Source organism: Homo sapiens, chromosome 5, assembly GCF_000001405.40.
Source record: "Homo sapiens chromosome 5, GRCh38.p14 Primary Assembly".
NCBI lineage: Eukaryota > Metazoa > Chordata > Mammalia > Primates > Hominidae > Homo > Homo sapiens.
Genome location: NC_000005.10, coordinates 10431196 through 10451593, shown reverse-complemented (window position 1 = coordinate 10451593; position 20398 = coordinate 10431196). Strand labels below are relative to the sequence as shown.

The 20398-nt window shown below is 43.7% G+C and overlaps 2 protein-coding genes and 1 long non-coding RNA gene across 14 annotated transcripts in view, besides 1 other annotated feature; 1 reads left to right on the top strand and 2 right to left on the bottom strand.

Annotated features, from left to right (window-relative positions):
* Positions 1–9715, bottom strand: part of ROPN1L (rhophilin associated tail protein 1 like) — a 40929-nt gene extending 31214 nt beyond the window's left edge. For 4 of the 6 annotated variants that reach the window (XM_017009947.3, XM_006714504.4, XM_017009946.3 and 1 more), the window contains exons 1-4: positions 9591–9715; positions 9296–9467; positions 3211–3334; positions 1481–1642 (exon numbers count right to left, since the gene is read on the bottom strand). In XM_017009947.3, coding sequence (XP_016865436.1) covers positions 1481–1642; positions 3211–3334; positions 9296–9426 — 417 coding nt within the window. In that variant the 5' untranslated portion in view covers positions 9427–9467; positions 9591–9715. Of the gene's footprint in view, positions 1–1480; positions 1643–3210; positions 3335–9295 lie in introns of all 6 variants that reach the window. The other 2 variants (XM_047417808.1, NM_031916.5) reach the window with 1 other exon arrangement.
* Positions 9602–9861: a silencer, noted in NCBI's record as "silent region_15921". NCBI's record gives its function as "represses an Ori minimal core promoter by ATAC-STARR-seq in GM12878 lymphoblastoid cells {active_cell/tissue: GM12878}" and the evidence as "EXISTENCE:reporter gene assay evidence [ECO:0000049][PMID:35858748]".
* On the top strand, positions 9743–10859 carry ROPN1L-AS1 (ROPN1L antisense RNA 1). Its single transcript, NR_102746.1, has 2 exons — positions 9743–9906; positions 10221–10859. It is a non-coding gene; the product is annotated as an ROPN1L antisense RNA 1 (long non-coding RNA).
* A 346-nt stretch (positions 10860–11205) lies between these two features.
* The window catches only part of MARCHF6 (membrane associated ring-CH-type finger 6), an 86694-nt gene continuing 77501 nt past the window's right edge, over positions 11206–20398 (bottom strand). For all 7 annotated transcript variants that reach the window (NM_005885.4, NM_001270660.2, NM_001270661.2 and 4 more), the window contains one exon: positions 11206–18000. In NM_005885.4, coding sequence (NP_005876.2) covers positions 17910–18000 — 91 coding nt within the window. In that variant the 3' untranslated portion in view covers positions 11206–17909. The remainder of the gene's footprint in view (positions 18001–20398) is intronic.

The window sequence follows — 20398 nt, the reverse complement described above, 5'->3', positions numbered from 1 at the left end:
CGAAGGAAGGGAATGAACAACGTGGCCTGTGATGTACAGATGAATACATCTAGTCATATAATTTAGGATGAAAATTTCAGAAAATTACTGACAACACAAATGTCTTTTCATCAAGTCAAAACCAACTAAAATTCCACAGTGTACCTCTTGCGGGACACATAGAAGCATGTGTTTCAGAGGTCAGGAAGCGAGAAGCAGGAACTTCAGAAATGTCATTGCTTCAGGCCACCAGGCAGGGGGACAGGACATGGGAGGAGGCCACAGGTGGTTGGAAGTGACTGTTGGTGCATTAGTGGCCACATTGGGTAGCCTTGCGGGTGTTTACCACCACCCATTTCAAGTAATTTGTTTTAATGAAAATGGAATGAAAGAGCTCTGTGCATGGAGCAAAGCTGAGTGAGGGCTGTGAAGCAAGGACCAGTTATACACACTGGGGCCACAGACTGAAGGGAGGGGGGAAAATCAAATTGTTCATCTATGTAGTAAAGGGAGCTGGTTCTCCTTTCTCTGCCTCCTTTCTTCATAAGCTTCACATGGCAGATGCCTGGTTACTCTTCCTTCACCCAACCACCATGTCTCACAGCAAGACTTTAGCTGAGAAGACTGACTCTGGGTTTGCAAAGGAAGCCCTGCCAACATCATCCCAGCTCCAACCTCTCCCTTCTCGCCCCGACCTCCCAGGCTCGCCTCGTCACCTGGAGGATCATGTCTTATTCCTAAGTTGCTTGGCTTATACTCAAACATCAGCAAAATCTCACTGTATCTATTAGTTATTAATAATAGATTTCTAAGGCCGGCGCGGTGGCTCACGCCTGTAATCCCAACACTTTGGGAGGCCAAGGTGGGCAGATCACCTGAGGTCAGGAGTTCGAGACCAGCCTGACCAACATGGAGAAACCCCGTCTCTACTAAAAATACAAAATTAGCCAGGCATGGTGGCACATGCCTGTAATCCCAGCTATCAGCAACTCGGGAGGCTGAGACAGGGAATCGCTTGAACCTGGGAGGCGGAGGTTGCGGTGAGCCGAGATTGCGCCATTGTACTCCAGCCTGGGCAACAACAGCAAAACTCCATCTCAAAAAAAATGAATAAATAAATAATAATAATAGATTTCTACTAAAGTAGAAAATAATTGTATGCCTCTTTCCACAGATGAGCAAAACAGTTATCAGTTTACAAAATGATTTGTAGTTTTAAAAAGTCATTGATGCATTTTCTTCTAAAACCTAAATATATTTTAATAGTATCCATATCTTTCATCTACTATTAACTTTTAAATTGAGGCATTCATAAATAATTTCTGTAAATTAAAATAACTGTACACCTGAAAATATTAATATAATAGGCCTGGAGCAGGGGGAAATGCTTTTCTAAGACAAAGTTACTAAAGTGTTTCCTTTAGTTACTGAAACCTAAATTATTTTTAAGCTGGGACCATGATGACACAGAATTATTAATATGCTGTTTATAGGTACATACCCCACCAAGCATGCTGCATCCAAGCGCTAAAAAGTTTATCCACTTGATTTTGTTTTCACAAGGATCCAGTTGTAAGAGCGCTTTGAATTTTTCCTTCGGCAGGCACAAGTTCTTCCACTTCTGCTCAAGATCTGTTAATTCCACATACCGCTTGTGGTGACACTGTTTGGAAAACACAGCATGACAATTTATGTATGTTTTAAAACCTGGGAAACAATGAATGCTGTGAATATTCAACACACACCAAGTAACCCGCCCCATGCAGGGGACAGATGAACTCCAAATGCATGACAGGGGGTTCTGTCAGCCCTGGGGAGGGAAGGCAGGGAAGGCAGCGAGCGGCAACCTTTTATTTATTAAATGAAAAAAGGACGGTGAAGCGAATACGGCATCATGTTATGACTTAATGAAACAGGCATACTGATATTGAGTATACGATACTCCACTATCTGTCTGAAATGCTTCACAATAAAAAATAAAGCTCAGTAAAAAACATTTTAAAAATCCAGCCCCTAATCACATTAACAGTTAGATAGGAGAGATCTTAAAACTGAAAATAAATGTATTTCTTCTATTATATATTTATTTGTTAATTTTTGGACAGTCTCATTCTGTTGCCCAGGCTGGAGTGCAGCGGCATGATTTCGGCTCACTGCAACCTCCACCTCCCAGGGTTAAGTAATTCTTCCGCCTCAGCCTCCCAAGTAGCTGGGATTACAGGTGCGCACCACCACGCCCTGTTAAGTTTTGTATTTTTATTGGAGACAAAGTTTCACCTTGTTGGCCAGGCTGGTCTTGAACTCCTGACCTCAAGTGATCTGCCCGCCTCAGCCTCCCAAAGTACTGGGATTAAAGGCATGAGCCACCATGCCCGGCCTTCCTTCTACTATTTTAAACAATCTATCAAAACTGAAAACTTCTGCAATCTGCTAGCAGTATCCTGGATGAAAAGGCTTTGAGCAATTTCAGCATGTCTTTTCGCAAGCTACACCATTCAAGAGTTCTTTGCTTCCCTTAAGGTAGTCCTAGTTTCAGAATTCACTGTATCCTGCGCAGAAGCACAGTACTTCACAGTGTAGAATGGGGATAAGTCAGTTTGAAAATCAAGGTTATGCCACTGGTGTCTCTTTTAGCAAAAGAACCGAGTCATGAGGAAGGCCTAGCCTTGCTCCGTGACCCACTTTCTAGTAACTCACGTCTGTAAAAACAGGATGGCGTGTGGGGCAAAGAAGCGCAAGGCAGGAAGGGGGCCCAGGCTCTCCACAGCACTGGACACCAGAGGCTGCTGCCCACCTTGGGGGCCAAAGGCCAGCCCCGCCTTCCAGACAGAGAAGGCAGAGGCTTACTCAGGCCTGCGCACAGCTTTCACAAACACACACCTGGAGAACGGACTGGAAACCCCCCAGGTTCTGAAATTTTGTATGTTTTGCCCAGCAGAATCTAGTGTCATGTAAATTTTGTATTTAAAAGAAATTATATTTCACTTTTCTAAACTCTACCCCTGGATAGTGACTTGGGGCTGTTGAAGCTAGAAAAAGACCTCCCAGACACAACATATTTCTTCCTTGAATCAACCTTGACGATGCGTGGCAGGGAAAGCAGGATTTCAGGGACCTCAGGAGGTTTGAAATACATTGCTGGGGTGTGCCCCGCTCTGTCATCAATGCACAGTGAACGGTAAGGAAAGCACAGGCCAGCTGCCTGAGGCCAGAGACTACGCCCCCCCATACCTGCTTGTGCAAAACTTTCAGGAGTCCTTGAGTCAGGCCTGTGTCTGTTTTCTGGGTTGCCGTGGGCATTTCCATTCTGTCCTTTACAGGAAGTGGATCTCCTCTCGACAGAGCTGAAAAATAGCTAATAAATAACAGACATCTCTGAAAGCTCATCAATACACAAAAAACAGCTATGCGATCCAATTTCTTAAATAACCCCCCAAAACAACGGTGATTAGGAAGGACAGCTCTGAAGACCAACATCCCGGGCTTATGTCCTGGTTCCTCCACTTGGTTCTCTGACTTAACCTTCTCTGCCTGCCTTAGTTTCTCTGTTGGCAAAGGGGATAATGAGACTCCCTGTTGGAGGGTTGGGGAGCATTGTGTGAGAAGGGCTTGGCGCAGTGGCTGGCACTCGCAGAAGCTCCTTCAACATGTGTGATTCTTCCCCTCCTCCCTGCCACTTCACAATCAGCTGGAGTTCCATGTATTATTCTTTCTTTTTTTTTCCTAAATTTTTTGAGACAGGGTCTCACTCTGTCACCCAGGCTGGAGTGCAGTGGCATAATCATGGCTCACTGTAGCCTCAACCTCCCAAGCTCAAGGGATCCTCCCGCCTCAGCCTCCTGAGTAGCTGGGACTACAGGCACACACCACCACACCTGGCTAATCTTTTTAATTATTTCTTACAGAGATGTGGTCTTGTTCCATTGCCCATGCTGGTCTGGAACTCCTGGCCTCAAGTGATCCTCCCAGCTTGGCCTCCCAAAGTGCTGGGATTATAGGCGTGAGCCACTGTGCCTGGCCGTCTTCCCACTTTTGACAGGTGGGTTTGGTCTTGCTGCTTTTTGAGGTGCTTGACTTTAAGCGTCTCTGCATATTCAACCCTGAGGCAGCCCAGGAACACACAGGTCACCTACTTCCACACTGGGAATGGCAGGTGCTGGCCTGGCTCCCATCCCCCCACCCCCACTTTTCCTGCCTGGTATTGTTCCCCTTAATTGTTCCTTTCTGGGACACTGATATTGCTGCTTATGTTGGGGGCAAGAGTGGGAAACTGTTGGGGCAATAAGTCAAGAGGGAACCCACACCCAGCCTCTGGCTCGTGGTGGGAGGGGTGCCAGGCAAGACCTTCTGAGAAACTCACGCCCCTTGGTATCTTTGCCAGAGGTGGCGATGCTGAAGCCACATCATTTGGGGCCCTAATGACTTTAGCATGATGAAAAGAGACAGCATATCCAGGCAAATGAACATCAAAGCATCCACCAGGGCCACAGATAACAATTTTAAAGCCATGGGTAGTTAGAAACATTGCTACAGATAAATATGGATAAGTCGATATCTGATAGACTAAAATAAACTTCATATCTCATCCTTTCTCTCTCTTTACACCCCTCAAATTTGACTTTGTTTCCTTGCTTTGTAAGACAACTTCAGCTCCATTTTGTGGCTTTGTTAATGATTTGAAGGCAGCAGTGAGTTAGACAAATGTGAACCTAAAGACCTAAAGGGTGTGGGTGAAGAATAGGTGCCTCGTTTTGCCACATTCCTACTAATCAAGGTTTTCACCTATTTCATGGGGGTAACTCCTCATAACTCAGGCAAGGAATCCCGAGCTAGATACAGCCTCTGGAGGCAGAGTTCTCAGTGGGGGATAATGCTCCTCCTCTTTCCCCCACCCGCCACCCTCCTCCCCAGCCAAAAGGCATTTGGCAATTTCTGGAGACGCTTTTTTTTTTTTGAGATAGAGTCTCGTTCTGTGGCCTAGGCTGGAGTGCAGTAGCGCCATCTCAGCTCATTGCAACCTCCACCTCCCAGGTTCAAGCTATTCTCCGGCCTCAGCCTCCTGAGTAGCTGGGATTACACATGTGCATCACCAAGCCCAGCTGATTTTTTATATTTTATTAGAGACGGGGTTTCACCATGTTGCCCCCAGGGTGGTCTCAAACTCCTGAGCTCAGACAATCAACCCGCCTCAGCCTCCCAAAATGCTAGGATTACAGGCGTGAGCCACCGCACCCGGCCTGGAGACATTTTTGATTGTCACAACAGAGGGTGGATGGTACTCCAGGCATCCAGTGGGTGCAGGCCAGGAGGCTGCTAAGTCCCATCATGCACAAGATGCCCCTTCCTCCTGTGCCCTCCCCAACTGTCAGTAGGGCCGAGGCTGGAAATGCCTGCTTTTGAGGTGAGACCAACTAATGTTAGCCTCTGCCAGTTCCTTGAGGCACACGCCAACCAAAGCAGCCTCTATTACTTGACTGATTCTTATGTTCATTGTCCTGTGTGAGGCACAACTGCACAATGGTGTCATAAGGAACAGCCGACTCCCCTCACAGTGGAGTCCACAGGCTTAGGGGGAGGCTGGCTCATCTTTGATATTTGCCCACCTGAAAAGCACCTTTGAAAAGAACCCTAACCTGAGGAAAGAGGAATGCCTACTTGCTTCATCTTTTTTGTTTGTTTGTTTTTTCTTTTTTAGACAGGCTCTTGCTCTGTCACCCAGGCTGGAGTAGAGTGTTGTGAACATGGCTCACTGAAGCCTCCAACTCCTGGGCTCAAGTGATCCTTCTGCCTCAGCATCCTGAATAGCTGGGATTACAGACATGCATCACCATGGCCGGCTAATTTTATTTTTAGTACAGACAAGGTCTTGCCACGTTGTGCAGGCTGGTCTCGAGCTCCTGAGCTCAAGTAACCTGTCCGCCTCGTCCTCCCAAAATGTAGGGATTACAGGTGTGAGCCACCGTGCTCAGCCTACTTGCTTGTTCTATAGCAGTTATGTCCGTGGGTATCCTGGTTTCCTGTTTTGGTTTTGATGGTTTTTCTTTTTCCTGTCTCCACCCCCTTCTTCCTGTGCTGCTTCCTCTTCCTGGAATCCTCTCCACCCCACCCAAGCCCCAATCTCTCTGCCTACAAAATCTCTCAAGGACCAAGCCACTACTTTGCTTAACTTTCGTGACCCTTCATTTTTGCACTTACCAAGTCCCGCCTTACTCAAGTTACTTTTGAATAGCTCTCCCTAACAGATTCTGTCCTGTGACAGCTGAAACATATTTGAACCTACAATTACATATATACTGCCGAATGAATAATACCTGGGTTTTCTCCTAAACTCACAAATTGTTCTTGGTCAGGCGCGGTGGCTCAAGCCTATAATCCCACCACTTTGGGAGGCCAGGAGGGCAGATTACTTGAGGTCAGGAGTTCCAGACCAGCGTGGCCAACATGGTGAAACCCCCGTCTCTACTAAAAATACAAAAATTAGCTGGGCGTGGTGGCACGCACCTGTAATCCCAGCTACTTGGGAAGCTAAGGCAGAATTGCTTGAACCAGGAGGCAGAGGTTGCCGTGAGCCTAGATAGCACCAGTGCACTCCAGCCTGGGCCACAGAAAAAGACTCTATCTAAAAAATAAATAAATAAATGGCTCTTGAGAGAAATTAGTAGCATGGTACATTCGGAAAGTTCCTGATTAAGTCTCTTATTTATTTATTTATTTTTATGATGGAGTCTTGCTCTATCATCCAGGCTGGAGTGCAGTGGCACGATCTTGGCTCACTGCAACCTCTGCTTCCCGGTTTCAAACAATTCTCCTGCCTCAGCCTCCCATGTAACTGGGACTACAGATGCGTGCCACCACACCAAGCTAATTTTTGTATTTTTAGTAGAGATGGGGTTTCACCATGTTGGTCAGGTTGGTCTCGAACTCCTGACCTCAGGTGATTCATCAGCCTTGGCCTCCCAAACTCTGGGATTACAGGTGTGAGCCACCATGCCCAGCCTGATTAAGCCTCTTAAAGTGAAGTTTAGGCCAGGTGCGGTGGCTTACACTGGTAATCCCAGCACTTTGGGAGGCCCAAGTGGATAGATCACCTGAGGTCAGGAGTTCGAGACTAGCCTGGCCAACATGGTGAAACCCCATCTCTACTAAAAATACAAAAATTAGCCGGGTGTGGTGGCAAGTGCCTGTAATCCCAGTTACTTGGGAGGCTGAGGCAGGAGAATCGCTTGAACCCGGGAGGCAGAGGTTGCCGTGAGCCGAGATCTCGCCATTGCACTCCAGCCTGGGCAACAAGAGTGAAACTCCGTCTCAAAAATAAATAAATAAATAAACAAAGTGAAGCTTAACATAACTATCTCTAAGGTATTACTAAATATAGTTTAATGTTCCAAGAAGATGTTGCTAAATCTTGGAATTTTTTGTACAGCACAAACTCTTATAAATCCTTTTATTTAAGCTTGAATAATGGTTAAAACCAGAGGCTATATTTCTTTAGCAAGAACTTTGAAAGAGTCTTTCAGAAACCATTGATAAAAGCATTTCTCAGAAGGCAAGCACTGGATGGACAAGTAGCTCAGTTGGTGGGTAAAATAACAGCCCCAAAGGTATCCAGGTCCATGTTCCAGGAACCTGGGAATGTTACTTTACATGGTAACAGGGATTTTGTGGACTGATAAGGATCTCGGGTGGGAAAACTGCCCTGGACTATCTGGATGGCCACTGAATGCAATCACCAGTGTCCTTGGAAGAAGGAGGCAGAGGGAGATTTGAAGATGCTGGCCTTGAAAATGGAGGAAGGGGACATGAGCCAAGGCGTCCAAGAAATGCAGCTCTAGAAGCCAGAAAAGGCAAGGAAACGAGCTGGGTTTTCCTGAGAACCACTGGAAAGAGCAAAGCCCTGTCAACACCTTGATTTTAGCCTAGTGAAACTAATTTGGACTTCTGGCCTCCAGAACTGCAAGAATGTATGTCTGTGTTTTTTTTTTTTTTGAGACGGAGTCTCGCTCTGTCGCCCGGGCCGGACTGCGGACTGCAGTGGCGCAATCTCGGCTCACTGCAAGCTCCGCTTCCCGGGTTCACGCCATTCTCCTGCCTCAGCCTCCCGAGTAGCTGGGACTACAGGCGCCCGCCACCGCGCCCGGCTAATTTTTTGTATTTTTAGTAGAGACGGGGTTTCACCTTGTTAGCCAGGATGGTCTCGATCTCCTGACCTCATGATCCACCCGCCTCGGCCTCCCAAAGTGCTGGGATTACAGGCGTGAGCCACCGCGCCCGGCCCAAATGTATGTCTGTGTTTTAAGCTGTCAAGTTTTGTGGTGATTTGTTACAGCAGCCAAACGAAACTAATTCACTTTGGTTATAGAGTTTAAAGCCAGCAAAATTTGGCTGTTTTTTTTCTTTTTAAATTAGTTTTCTTATTAAAAAAAATACAGATGGGGTCTTGCTGTGTTACCCAGGCTGGTCTCAAACTCTTGGGCTCAAGTGATCCTCCCAGCTTGGCCTCCCAAAGTGCTGGGATTACAGGCATGAACCACCAAGCCCAGCCAAAATTTGAAATGTTGATGACTAAAATATTTAAATTAAATTTACACCTGTGCTGACTCTTGTCATCATAAAAGTGAGTTTTTGTTTTACATCTGTTTATTGAAAAGGGGCAAAGAGCTCTCCTGTAAAACCAAGAGGATTTCTTTTAATGCCTCTAAGATCTGTTGACTTGTAACTTTGAGATTATGAATGTCTGTTCCTGGCAAGTGTTGGAATGTTTGTGGCAAAAAATAAACTGTGAAGCTTCATTTGCTGGACAGTTTACCCTGAGCACTCTAGGGATGATGACCTCAGTATGACCACGGTCGTTCCGGTTCTAATAAATTTAACCAGCTCTGGGTATACATAGCTCTGAGAGGACTCTCTGCAGATGAGGAACTTAGCTAAAATATTCCTCTTTGTAAAGTCATTTCACAAAGTGACTGCAACCGTGTAATTTTTTTAACATAATGTAAACACTTTTTTGCCCAATGCAATTACTTTGTTAAGTTTTAGTCTATCTTCATCATAAACACTTTTAAACAATTGAGTTGCCATTACGTTGTAGGTAAGTGAGCATTTTGCAATGATTTCGGGTCTCATAGTCGATAAATCGAAATGGTTCCTAGATAAAACACTCAAGTATAGATGTCACCAATGCTAAGGGGAAAGTTTTGCCTGATACTCTTAAGGACGCTGAGTGCCGCGTAAGGCCCCTGGTCCGGGAGGAGGGCTCTCTGGGCTCGTCTGGCTTGGGCATGTAGACCGGACAGCTCCCCGGGCCAAGGGCGCTTACCCCGCGGACCACCGCAGCACGTCGGCCGGCTGGGTGCGGATGGCAGCCTTGGTGAATTGCTTCAGGATGTCCGGCAGCTCCGGGGGAATGTGGATCTGCTGAGCGCAGAACATGGTGTCGGGAAGCGGCATCGCTCTCCGCAGAAGGGACCAGGCTGGTGAATCGCGGCGCGCTGCGAGGAAGAAGGGCGGCTGTCGGCTACGACGCGGTGGACCCGCTAGCAGCGCGGGGCTTGCGGCCAGGGCCGCCTCCCATCCCGTTCCCGAGGTTGGGGCCGGATTCGCGGGGCTCTTACCCGCTCCTCCGCGGGCTTCGGGAGAAATTCGGACCAACTGCCACTCCGACAACACCCTAGACCCTGCAGTTCCCTAGCGCCAGCCGCCACTACGGACGCGCTCGGTATCCAGGCACCCGGGACGCGAGCAGGCCCCGCCCCTGGAGCCGCGCACGCGCACGCGGCCCTGAGCGAGGCGGGGCTGCTCCCGGGCTGGACAAGGAGGTGCTGGCGTAGTCCGACTAGCAGCAGCCGCTGCTCCCCGGTGGTTCAGAGCCGCGCGAGCTGAGCGTTTCGCCTACAAAAGCATCTTCGGATCGGTTTCCCACCGCCGAATGTGAGCGGCGAACTCACGAAGGACTCCCTCTTCCCCTTGCTCTGGCTGCGTGAGGCTGAGGCTAGGGGACTCGGGCCTGCTAGGAGGGAAGCGGGTTAAGTGAAGGGGCTGATCGCCTGGGCGGCACGGGCCCCGCTGCGGGACCCGCCTGCGCCTGGGGCCGCTCCTCCAAACTTCTCGGGCTTCGAACTTCGCACATGCTGTTCCCTGGCCTAAGCCATCCCGTAGTGAACCTGAGTTCTTAATTTAAAAAGCCGCTTAGACAGTGGGCAGTTTCCAGCTAAAACACTATTGTATTTGTTTTCTTACGATAGGTTGCTTGAGCCAATGTGACTGGCTCTAGGAGGAAATAAATCACATCTGTCAAAAGAGCCTCGAGTCGAAGGATAGGAGAAACCTCGAATTTGGTGGGTGCTGACCAAGGCACCATGCAAGGGGTTAACTTTGCTTTAGGGGGTGACCTGGCTGGCTGCTGCAGTTGCCGTTAACAGCCACCGAATGGATGAGACTCCAGATCCACCTCCTCCTGCGTTCCTCAAAACAGGAAGATGGAGAACTACGGAGAGCTACTTCCCAGAGGGGCCGATGGCAAGCACTCCCTTCAAGGAAACTGGGGAAGTTGCCCGATTTTGATCGTTTCCATCCAAACACCCACCAGACAATATATACATACACATTTCTAAATTAACAGCATTGGCAAAAACTGAAAATACTTGTATTTAAAGTTGATGACAGTATGAAAACAAGAAATCCGTCCGGGCGCGGTGGGTCACGCCTGTAACCCCAGCACTGATCACAAGGTCAGGAGTTCGAGACTAGCCTGGCTAACATGGTGAAACCCCCTTCTCTACAAAAATTGGCTGGGCGTAGTGGCGCGTGCCTGTATTCCCAGCTACTTGGGAGGCTGAGGCAGGAGAATAGCTTGAGCCCGGGAGGTGGAGGTTGCCGTGAGCAGAAATGGCACCACTGCACTCCAGCCTGGGCGACAGAGTAAGACTCTGTCCCCGCCCCCCTCCACCCAAAAAAAGAAAAAAAAAAAAAGGAATCTTCTATGTTGTTGAGAGGGATGTTAATTAGTACCTTTATGGGGCAGTAATGTAACACTAAAATTTTTCGATGATCGTGCAATATTACTTCTGGGAACTTACCCTACAGAAATACTATAAAAAGTAATATGGACAAAAATCTTCACCATATAAATTGGGTAAATGTCTTTTGGAAAACAAATCATGGCCTGGCCACACAATGGTATGAAAAGATGCCCGTGTAAAGTGAAAAAAAGCATCTTGTCAAACAATCTGCATAGTATGACACCTTTATTGTGATAAATGATTCTGTGAAGGTATGTCTGGAAGCACACAACTAAACTATTAACAGCAGTTACCTCTGGGAAATAGGACAGGGATTTCAGGTTTTATTTTGGCCATAGACACATTATTTTGATTCTAAATTCATCATTTATTTACTAACTTAGCATTACTATTGAGTACCAAATATTTGCCAGGGAATTGTTCTGGGAATACAGTAATAATTCAGTTTAAAAAAATAAAATCTTTGGAGCTTACATTCAAGTGGGAAACAACATGCAAATATAAACAACAAAGGTAAACCATATAGTATGTTTAAAAGTACAAAAGAGAGCCGGGAGTACAAAATACAGCAGGGAGATGAGACAGGAATGCCCCAGTAGCTGCAGCTTTAGATAAGCCTCAGTGAGAATGACACTTCAGGAAAGAAATGAAGAGGCTAAAGAGCCTGAAGAACATTTGGGTATTGCAAATAGTAAGTGCAAAGGCACGAAGGCCTGACCTGTTTTGGAGGCAGGGAGGACGGCAGGAGCAGGGTGAACACAGAGGTGATGGGGTCAGAGAAGGGAGAAAAGGGGTGCTTCATGTTTTGCCCAGCATTGAAGGCTATTGTGGACTTTTGAGTGCCATGGTCGTCTATTGGAGAGTTCTGAGGGTTGGTGTGATCTGACTTGGATCTCAAGAAGAACATTCTGGATTCAATGTTGAAAACAAATGGAAAAGGAGAGAGAGCAGGGGCAGAGGCAGCAAGCTCAGGAGAAACAGCGATTAAGTAAACAATGGGTTTACTTGTTCAGTTTTGAGACTTCTTTATGTAATCTAGATGCAACTCATTTATCAGAAATGTTTTGCAAATATTTTTCTGCCACTCTACAGCTTGTCTTTTTGTTCTCCTTATGGTACCTTTCAAAGAGAAGTTCTCAATTTTGATAAAGTACAATTTATCGATTTTTCCTTCATGGATTGTGCTTTTGGTGTTGGATTTAAGAAATCTTTTCCTAACCCAAGGCTGAACACGTTTTCCTTGTTGTCTTCTAGAAATTATACAGTTTTGGGGAACTATAATCCATTTGGACTTTAATCTTTGCCAGTGTTAAGATATGGATCAATTTGTTTTTAATTTTGCATCTGATGCCCAATTATTCCAGCATCATTTTTTCAAGACCTTTGCACCTCTGTCAAAAACCAGTTGTCCACATACATGTTGGGTTATTTCTGGACTCTATTCTGTTCCATTAGACCAATGCACAGCCAGCAGAAGGGACTGATCCCAAAAACATATGAGTGAATGAAGAGGAGTACTGGGTATGAAGCTTCTCATCTTTAGGTGTATCCTAAAGAAGAGTTACTGAACAAACACAGAGAAGCAGAAAAACTCCGGCACTGTTACATATGTGAAGAAAAGTTTCAAAATGATAACTAAACAATGTAAAATGAGGCAAAAAGGGGCCTCTACGTAGTGTTTACGTATGAGTGGTCTTAGAGAAGTGTGTGACTAAGTAGAACTAGATTGCAGAAGGCTGAAAGAGTAATGGCAGGGGGACCTACATATACCAAACAGTCACTAAGGAAGTGGCTAGGCCATCTCTCCCGGGTGAACCTTTCTCTGTGTTCCCCATGGCATTTTATTCATACCTCTGTAATACAATCTTTTGCTCATGCTTCTGTTCCATTCTGAGTTCCTTGAAGGGAGACATCATACCTCATTCAACTACAGTACTAAATACAGTGCTAGAAACAAAACAGACACCAAAATAAAAACATGGAGGAGGAGGGGAACGTTACCCTCTCAGCCCCTTGATACGTTAGTTCTCCTTATCACTACATGTTTGCAACAAGAGTAGCTATGAACTGTGGAGCGGAAGGGGGAAATTAATGGCCAGTTTCTGAACTTGACCATGCAATTTCCTTTGCTGAAAAATTTCAGCTTCACAGATTAAAGATGTCTATGGTTCGAATAGCATTTCCTCTATCACCCCTGCATTTAAAGTAATTAAAAATGCACTTGTTTGGGGGAAAACAATCATGGAAAAAATTCTGAACCTATAAACAAAGAAAAATTAGAAATAGTCTGAAGCAAAAGGATCTCCTCAGGGCACTCAGAAGGAAAAAAACATCACGCAAGTCTTTCCTTTTTATCTGGGACATATGGTCAGGTATGTACAATGGATTTGATTGGTTTTACTCTAAGTATTCAGCTAAAAGACAACCTTAGTGAAACTGACTTTCTGATCTCGTAGCAGACATGCAGAAGTGGGCAGTAGCTTGCTATTGCACAAAATGTGGGGCCTTACTCTTCCCAGTGAGGACGGTCTACAGTTCAAGTTAGGGAGACAGAAGGGGAGGGATGTGTCCTCTGCAACTATGCATTTAAATGTATACATAAAAGGGAGTCGCCACAGTCACATTTAACTGGAGTTGTTTTTCCTTCCTATTATAACATCTGGATTATCTATGCTGGCTAATAATGCATATTTCTGCAATCTTAAAGCAATCTTGCAATAACACAAAAACAAACAAAAAAACTAGACTACAATTAACATTCACTTTATTCAGTTTTGTCCTCTCAACTTAGAAGGCAACAAATGACCACATTAAAAAGGGAGCATTTCAGAATATATATACATAAAATTGGTCTGGGTACCCTAAGGTGTTTGCGTTGATAGAAAATTGACACCCCAAACTAAGTGTTCTACTTAGCTTCTACAATAGTTATTCCTAGACCTTAGATTAGTCATTACATTTTTATTTAAGGTACTATGTTACTTTCATGACTACAAAATGAGGCACTCGTACAAAACAGGAATGAAAACATACATATACTGTCTTGTCTTTATGTCGTATTAATGCCAAAGATATTGTCAGGGATTATTTTAAAGAAGCCCTTACTCATGATGGCTATTTTTAAAAATGGCACAGGACAGTAACAGGCTGAAAAGAAAACACCTGGTTGAGGGGACAAATTAAGTAAATACAAGACAGCTTAACCAAGGAAGTCAGCGAATCTCCACAAATGAGGCTTTTAATAATACTTTACTGGTAAGACATTTTAGTTGGGTTTTTTTTTGATGGCTGAATAACATCCTAAAGAAGTATTTTAAATATAATCTTTTAATTTTACAATGTAGAAAACTTCTCACAGTAAGTAGAGAGCTTAGAGTACTCAACCCTGAAAATGAAAATAAGTAGCTAGCTTGGAAAGTTTTAAAAAGCGCCAGTGTTCTTATGGCACTACATTCTCCTGCACGTGTGCGTGTGTTCACGCACATTCGCAAACGCAATACAATGTAGAACTGTCCAGTGTTTGTTTTGTTTTAAAAAGTCATCAATTCAACCTAAATTCAAGAATTACACTTTAATAGTGGCATTTTGCCAATACAGAAATGACGTATCTTGGATCAAATCATTTTAAGGAAAGTTATTCTATATTACTTGAATAAGGGAAAGAAAATACACAAGACAAGAATCCACAATAATAGCAGTTACATTAAATGTTGAAATAAAAATTACTTTTTGTTTACATCTGGAATTGAGATGGCCCATCTTCATTGTTTCTCCAGAGTACTAAGAGGGGGAAAAAAGTCACCTAAAAACATGGGAAGTTTTTTAAGGCTAGCTATACACAAACGTCACATTGGCATTTTTCTTCAGTTTTCATCTCAACTATTAGTACTAAATAGTTTAAAAATCAAACATAATTTACTAATAATGAACAACTGCACACTTCATACTATGACCGTTTGATAACTGGTCATGTAAAACTATCACCAAATGCTGATTTGTCTTCTATATATAAATAGTAAAAATAAAACAAAAAGGTCTTCTTTCCTAGTTAACCTTCTTGAAGGTTGTTTTAACCCAATATAAAATTAAGCAAAATAATAGTATAATTTAAAAAAAAATTTATGTGAAGAAGGGCAGCAATACTAACATTTTCTGAACTATGGGTTTTCAATATTTAAAAGGCTCTTGGTTAAATACTAAAACCCGGATGCTACCCAAGCAAATATTATGCTGGAAAATGCTTTCCCTATGAAAATACTTATCTCATTGAAAACAACACGATAAAGTACAATTGAAAAACTAGGGGAGAATTCTTAAGTAAGACAATATAAATTACCTGCCAGTAAAATGGAGGGCAATTTTTTGGCCATTCATATTGTTTGTTTACAAAACATTGATAAGATTCATTTAAAATTCTGTAGGATTAAGAATTTTTAACCTTTTGAAGTATCTGCCTAGGATCTCTTGCTGTTAAAACAGATATGTTCCAATGACTTTATACCAAGATCCACAAATTCTTTGAAAAATTAAAAAACAAAACAAAACAAAACAAAAAACCCAAAATTAATATAATCAAGTTGGCCAGGCGTGGGGGCTCACACCTATAATCCCAGCACTTTGGGAGCCCAAGGAGGACGGATCACCTGCAGTCAGGAGTTCCGAGACCAGCCTGGCCAACATGGTGAAACCCTATCTCTACTAAAATAACTAAAATAAGCCAGGTGTGGTGGCACGCACCTGTAGTACCAGCTACTTGGGAGGCTGAGGCAGGAGAATCGCTTGAACCTGGGAGGCAGAGGGTGCAGTGAACCAGGATCGTGCCACTGCACTCCAGCCTGGGCAACAGAGTAAGACTCTGTCTCGGGGGCAAAAAAAAAAAAAAAAAAAAAAAAAAAAAAATATATATATATATATATATATATATATATATATATATATATATATATATATATATATAGTTATATAGTTATATAGTTATATGCTCAATTCAATAATAATGTTTTTCTCCCAAAGAGAGCAATTTAGAAATACACTATGACAGGCAGCATTATATTTTAAAATCCTAATTTTTTATAGTAGGACTAAATTTCTGAGTAAAGGTAGGGCTAACAAAGACCTTATTTCAAATGAGAGAAAAGGCTGCTCTAAAGTGCCAAAGAGTATAACACTGAATCCTATGTCAAGCATTATTTCTGATACTGATTTTTTTTTTTTTTTCCAATTTTGCCTAGGTTGGCCTCGAACGCATAGCCTCGCCTCCTTGTGTGCCAGGACAACCGGCCGGAGCCACCGCAGCTCCCGATACCGATGTTTTTAAAAATATGTTTTAAAGTAATTGCTTACCACTTAGGGAAAAAATTGTTGAAGTATAAAACAGCCAGAACACATTGCTCTTTATTTTGGTAGCTTATGTTTGGCTGACTTGCATATGTTAAAAAATTCTCAGATTTTAGTCTATGGATTTTAATACTATATGAAAATTCTTTTATAGTTTCTGAAGACCTATGTTATACGCTTTCTATGAGAACTTCTAAATTATCGTTCAAAAACAAACACTACCCTTACGATATACCTTTAGCATTAAACATTTAGATCATGTACCCAACCATTCTATTTTTCTAAACTTCTAACCTGAAGCTTTGGTTATGAGGGAAAACAAAGTTTGTAAGGGTTCAGTTCTCTGAGATTTTTCAGAATGTTTCCAACGAAATACATTCCTATGTTAAAAGGCCAGCTCAGCCAAGCTTCCTTCTGGACAAATAATGAATTGGTTTTATTTGAAGTTTTATTCTGTAAACAAAAAGCTTTGGAAACTTTGGGATTTCCTGATGAAAAGCTAGGAGAAATGCACACCTAGTCCTCAGCCAACGAGGCACTAACCAGCGAGACCAGATGTTCTAACCAGTCTTCTCTAATGCTGTCAATCTAAGACCACAACCACATCTATACTTCACAAGCATCTCAGAAGTCCTAAATCCAGTAAGATGCAGTACAGTTGGTGATGTCACTCTGAAAGATTTATGACCTTGCAGGACTTTCGGCCACTGCTACAAAAAATAAACAGATAGTTGTGTGTGGAAAAGAGAGGATGTGGGTGTGGGGTGGGGGCGGGCGGGGGGGCTGACTCATGAAAATCTTCATTTGGACTTTTTTTCTCTAAGTATAGACATGCCCCACTGAAACCCAACTCCCAATGCTGATCACACTAGGAATATTAAATTATCAAAATTAAAAATAATTTCCTCACCTAGCACAAGATACTATACAATATTACAAACACAGACACATGAAAAAAATCAGGCAGTAGGAAATGTACAACAGCTTTGGTGTTATACAAAATAACTTCCACAAACAACTAACAGTGAAGCATAAAGTTCATGTTTTCTTACCACAGACACTCCACTGCTGATTTCTACTTGTTTCCTTTAACGTTCTTGGTAAGGTCTGAATAGCCAAGAAAGAAAGAATGTACAGTTCCCTTAGTGAGAGCTGCTAGGACATCATGAACTGCGTTCCACAAGGCGTCACTGAAAAGTCTTGCCTGCGCACTACTGCTCTGTGGCACGTTTCCTGTCGAGATCACAGCAGGTCCAAAATAAAGTGACAACTAGATTTAATAAATTAATATACATTTTGTTTAAAGATGTACAATGCACATTCTGTTTAATCCAAGGTTTTAGGGTATCAAGGAACTTGTATTTACACATATACAAATCTCAGACAGCAGTAATGTCAGAAGATCCAGGGAGAACAGCAGAATCTTACACCGCTGCTCTCTGAATGCTGAGAACACAAGTCAAATACATTTAACTTAAAAACAACGCTGAGAGATCACTGGGAAAAATCTCCAAAGAGAGAAGTCCACAAAAAAGGACATGTAAAGGGGAAGGTCAAGTTGTTGAGACAACTACTTTATTCTTGGGATGACTGTGGAGGTGGTGGAGATGAGCCTTGTTTGCCAGATTTCCGTTCGTAGTTCACGAGTCGTTGACCCACAAGGTACCTAGGTTGCAAAAACAAGGTGGTTACTCTCTTCTATGAATGTACAGAGTAAAACATTCATATGTCTTTTTAAATCTAACTCCTACTTAAAACTCGTCAATGGTTGGGCAAGTCAAAGGGAGTCCCGAGTGAACACCTGTAAAGGCTGACACATCTACCTAGGTATGGGTTTGTAGGAAGCTGCAGAAGCAGCACAGGCTGGAAGGCCTCCAATGCTGTGCAATGGAGGACATGCTTCAGTCAGTGGTTTAGGGGGTCTCAGAAACTCAGACCTGTGGAGGCCAGGAGGGATACAGTAAACTTATGCAGTGGATTTATCTGTTAAGGTTCAGATTTTATAAAACAACTTAGTGGGCAGATCTAAGGAGACAGACTAAAAACATGACCATCAGAAAGCTAGGAAGGGGCTGGGCGTGGTGGCTCACGCCTGTAATCCCAGCACGTAGGGAGGCCGAGGCGAGTGGATCACCTGAGGTCAGGAGTTTCAGACCAGCCTGGCCAACATGGTGAAACCCCATCTCTACTAAAAATACAAAATTAGCTGGGTGTGTGTGGTCCCAGCTACTAGAGAGGCTGAGGCAGAAGAACTGCTGAAACCTGGGAGGTAGAGGTTGCAGTGAACTGAAATTGTGCCACTGCACTCCAGTCTGGGTGACAGAGTGTGACTCCGTCTCAAAAAAAAAAAAAAAAAAAAAGTAGGAAGGGATGAAAGTAAAACTGGAAGTTCTAGTTACAGAGAAGAAAGGAGAAATCAAAGGAGAAATTTCAGTGAAGTCAAAGGGAAGACAGCATTGCAGTGAGTGAGTATGAGTGACAGGAGGTGGGAGAATATGGTTCAACAACAGAATGGCAAGTGTTCCTAACTTATGTATGTGATGAAAGGAGAAGGCAATGGCAAAGGCCACAGGGCTGCAGAAACAAGGCAGATGTTACTGTAGTTGGAGTGACAGGGCAGGAGATCCTACTCAAGGAGACAGACATCTCCAATGCCAGGGAAGGGCGACAGCTGCATCGAAGGCTCACTGAAGGCCTGCCTTACTTAATGTGAGCAGATGGCTTGCAGGCTGATCCCAAGAGGACAGCAGGGACAAAGCTGGAAAGCAACAAGCTGTAGGTGGCTGGGCACAAGTGTGAAGGGCACCCATTTGGAGGCAGAGATGCAGATCAGGGAGAATGTCCAGTAAAAGCCCACAGAGTTGAGTGAAGGAGACTGAGGGAGAGTGAAACCTGCACATGACAGGCTGTCAGGTAGCTTTCCTTCGTCCCTTTCCTCCATTTACTCATCAGTGAAATGAGACCGACAGTCCCACGCTGCAGCATTGTTTTAAGAAAGGGAAAGTGTATGCAGCCCGGTGACAAAGGCTTAGCATGTTGTAAGGGCTCACTGTGGGAACTCTTACTTTTCACCAGTACCTTCTCTACCTTGACTTTTATCTATCACTTTTCTGTAAATGCACACAAGCCTAAGGAAATATTTTGGCAGTTTATGTCCAGTAGCTTAATATGTCACTTTTTTAAAAGTACGCTAATCTTACTGCATCTTTATCCATAATGTCACTGTTTTATTCCTTTTCTTTTGTCTTACCTTCTTTTCTTGAAGTTAGCCATTCCTTACCCCACTGTTCCCCAACCAACCACTGATTTTAAAACTTTGAGAATTTTGTAAATATTTTAAACAGTGAAGGCTGAGCAATATCTACTAAAATATACACAGCACTACCTGGCACACAGTAATGACTAAATAGCAAGATACACTAAAAATATGGTCAGCATTATGGCAATGACAAAGTAAGTAAATAAAAAGCATACAGAAACCAAGTTAAATTGTACAAGTCCAAAGAGTAATTCAGTGGCAGAGAAAGGAGACTCTGAACCCAACTCCCTCTCTTCCACCACCACTCACTCTCTCATACTCAAGCCCACCACACACACACATACACTCTCACACACACACACACACACACACACTCACTCACTCTTAGCACCTCCCACAGACCAAACCCTGTGCTAAAGAGTACATATACAACAGCTGACAAGACATGCCCTCACTTAAGTCTACAGTTCAACACCTTTCTGCATAAAGGAACAGATGGGAAAAGAGGAAAGAGGACACTGGGCTACAGGAAAAAGCAGAAGAAGATAGAGCATGAGAAAGAAGAGGTCAATGGGAACGTCTAGACCCCTGGCAAAGGCTGAGAAGGGCAGGGTGCAGAAAGGCAGGCATCCAGCATAAAGAAAGAAGCAGGTAGAAAGTTCCCTGAGGGCACGTCTTGCTTGTCATTCTGTTTGCAGTATTTACTCCTCTGCCAAAAAGTTGAGTGCTAAGAAGTTGATTTTCATCATTGAAAATACCCCTTCCCCTTCTTTCAGTTGACAGTCCTTTGTACTCTGACTGCCTA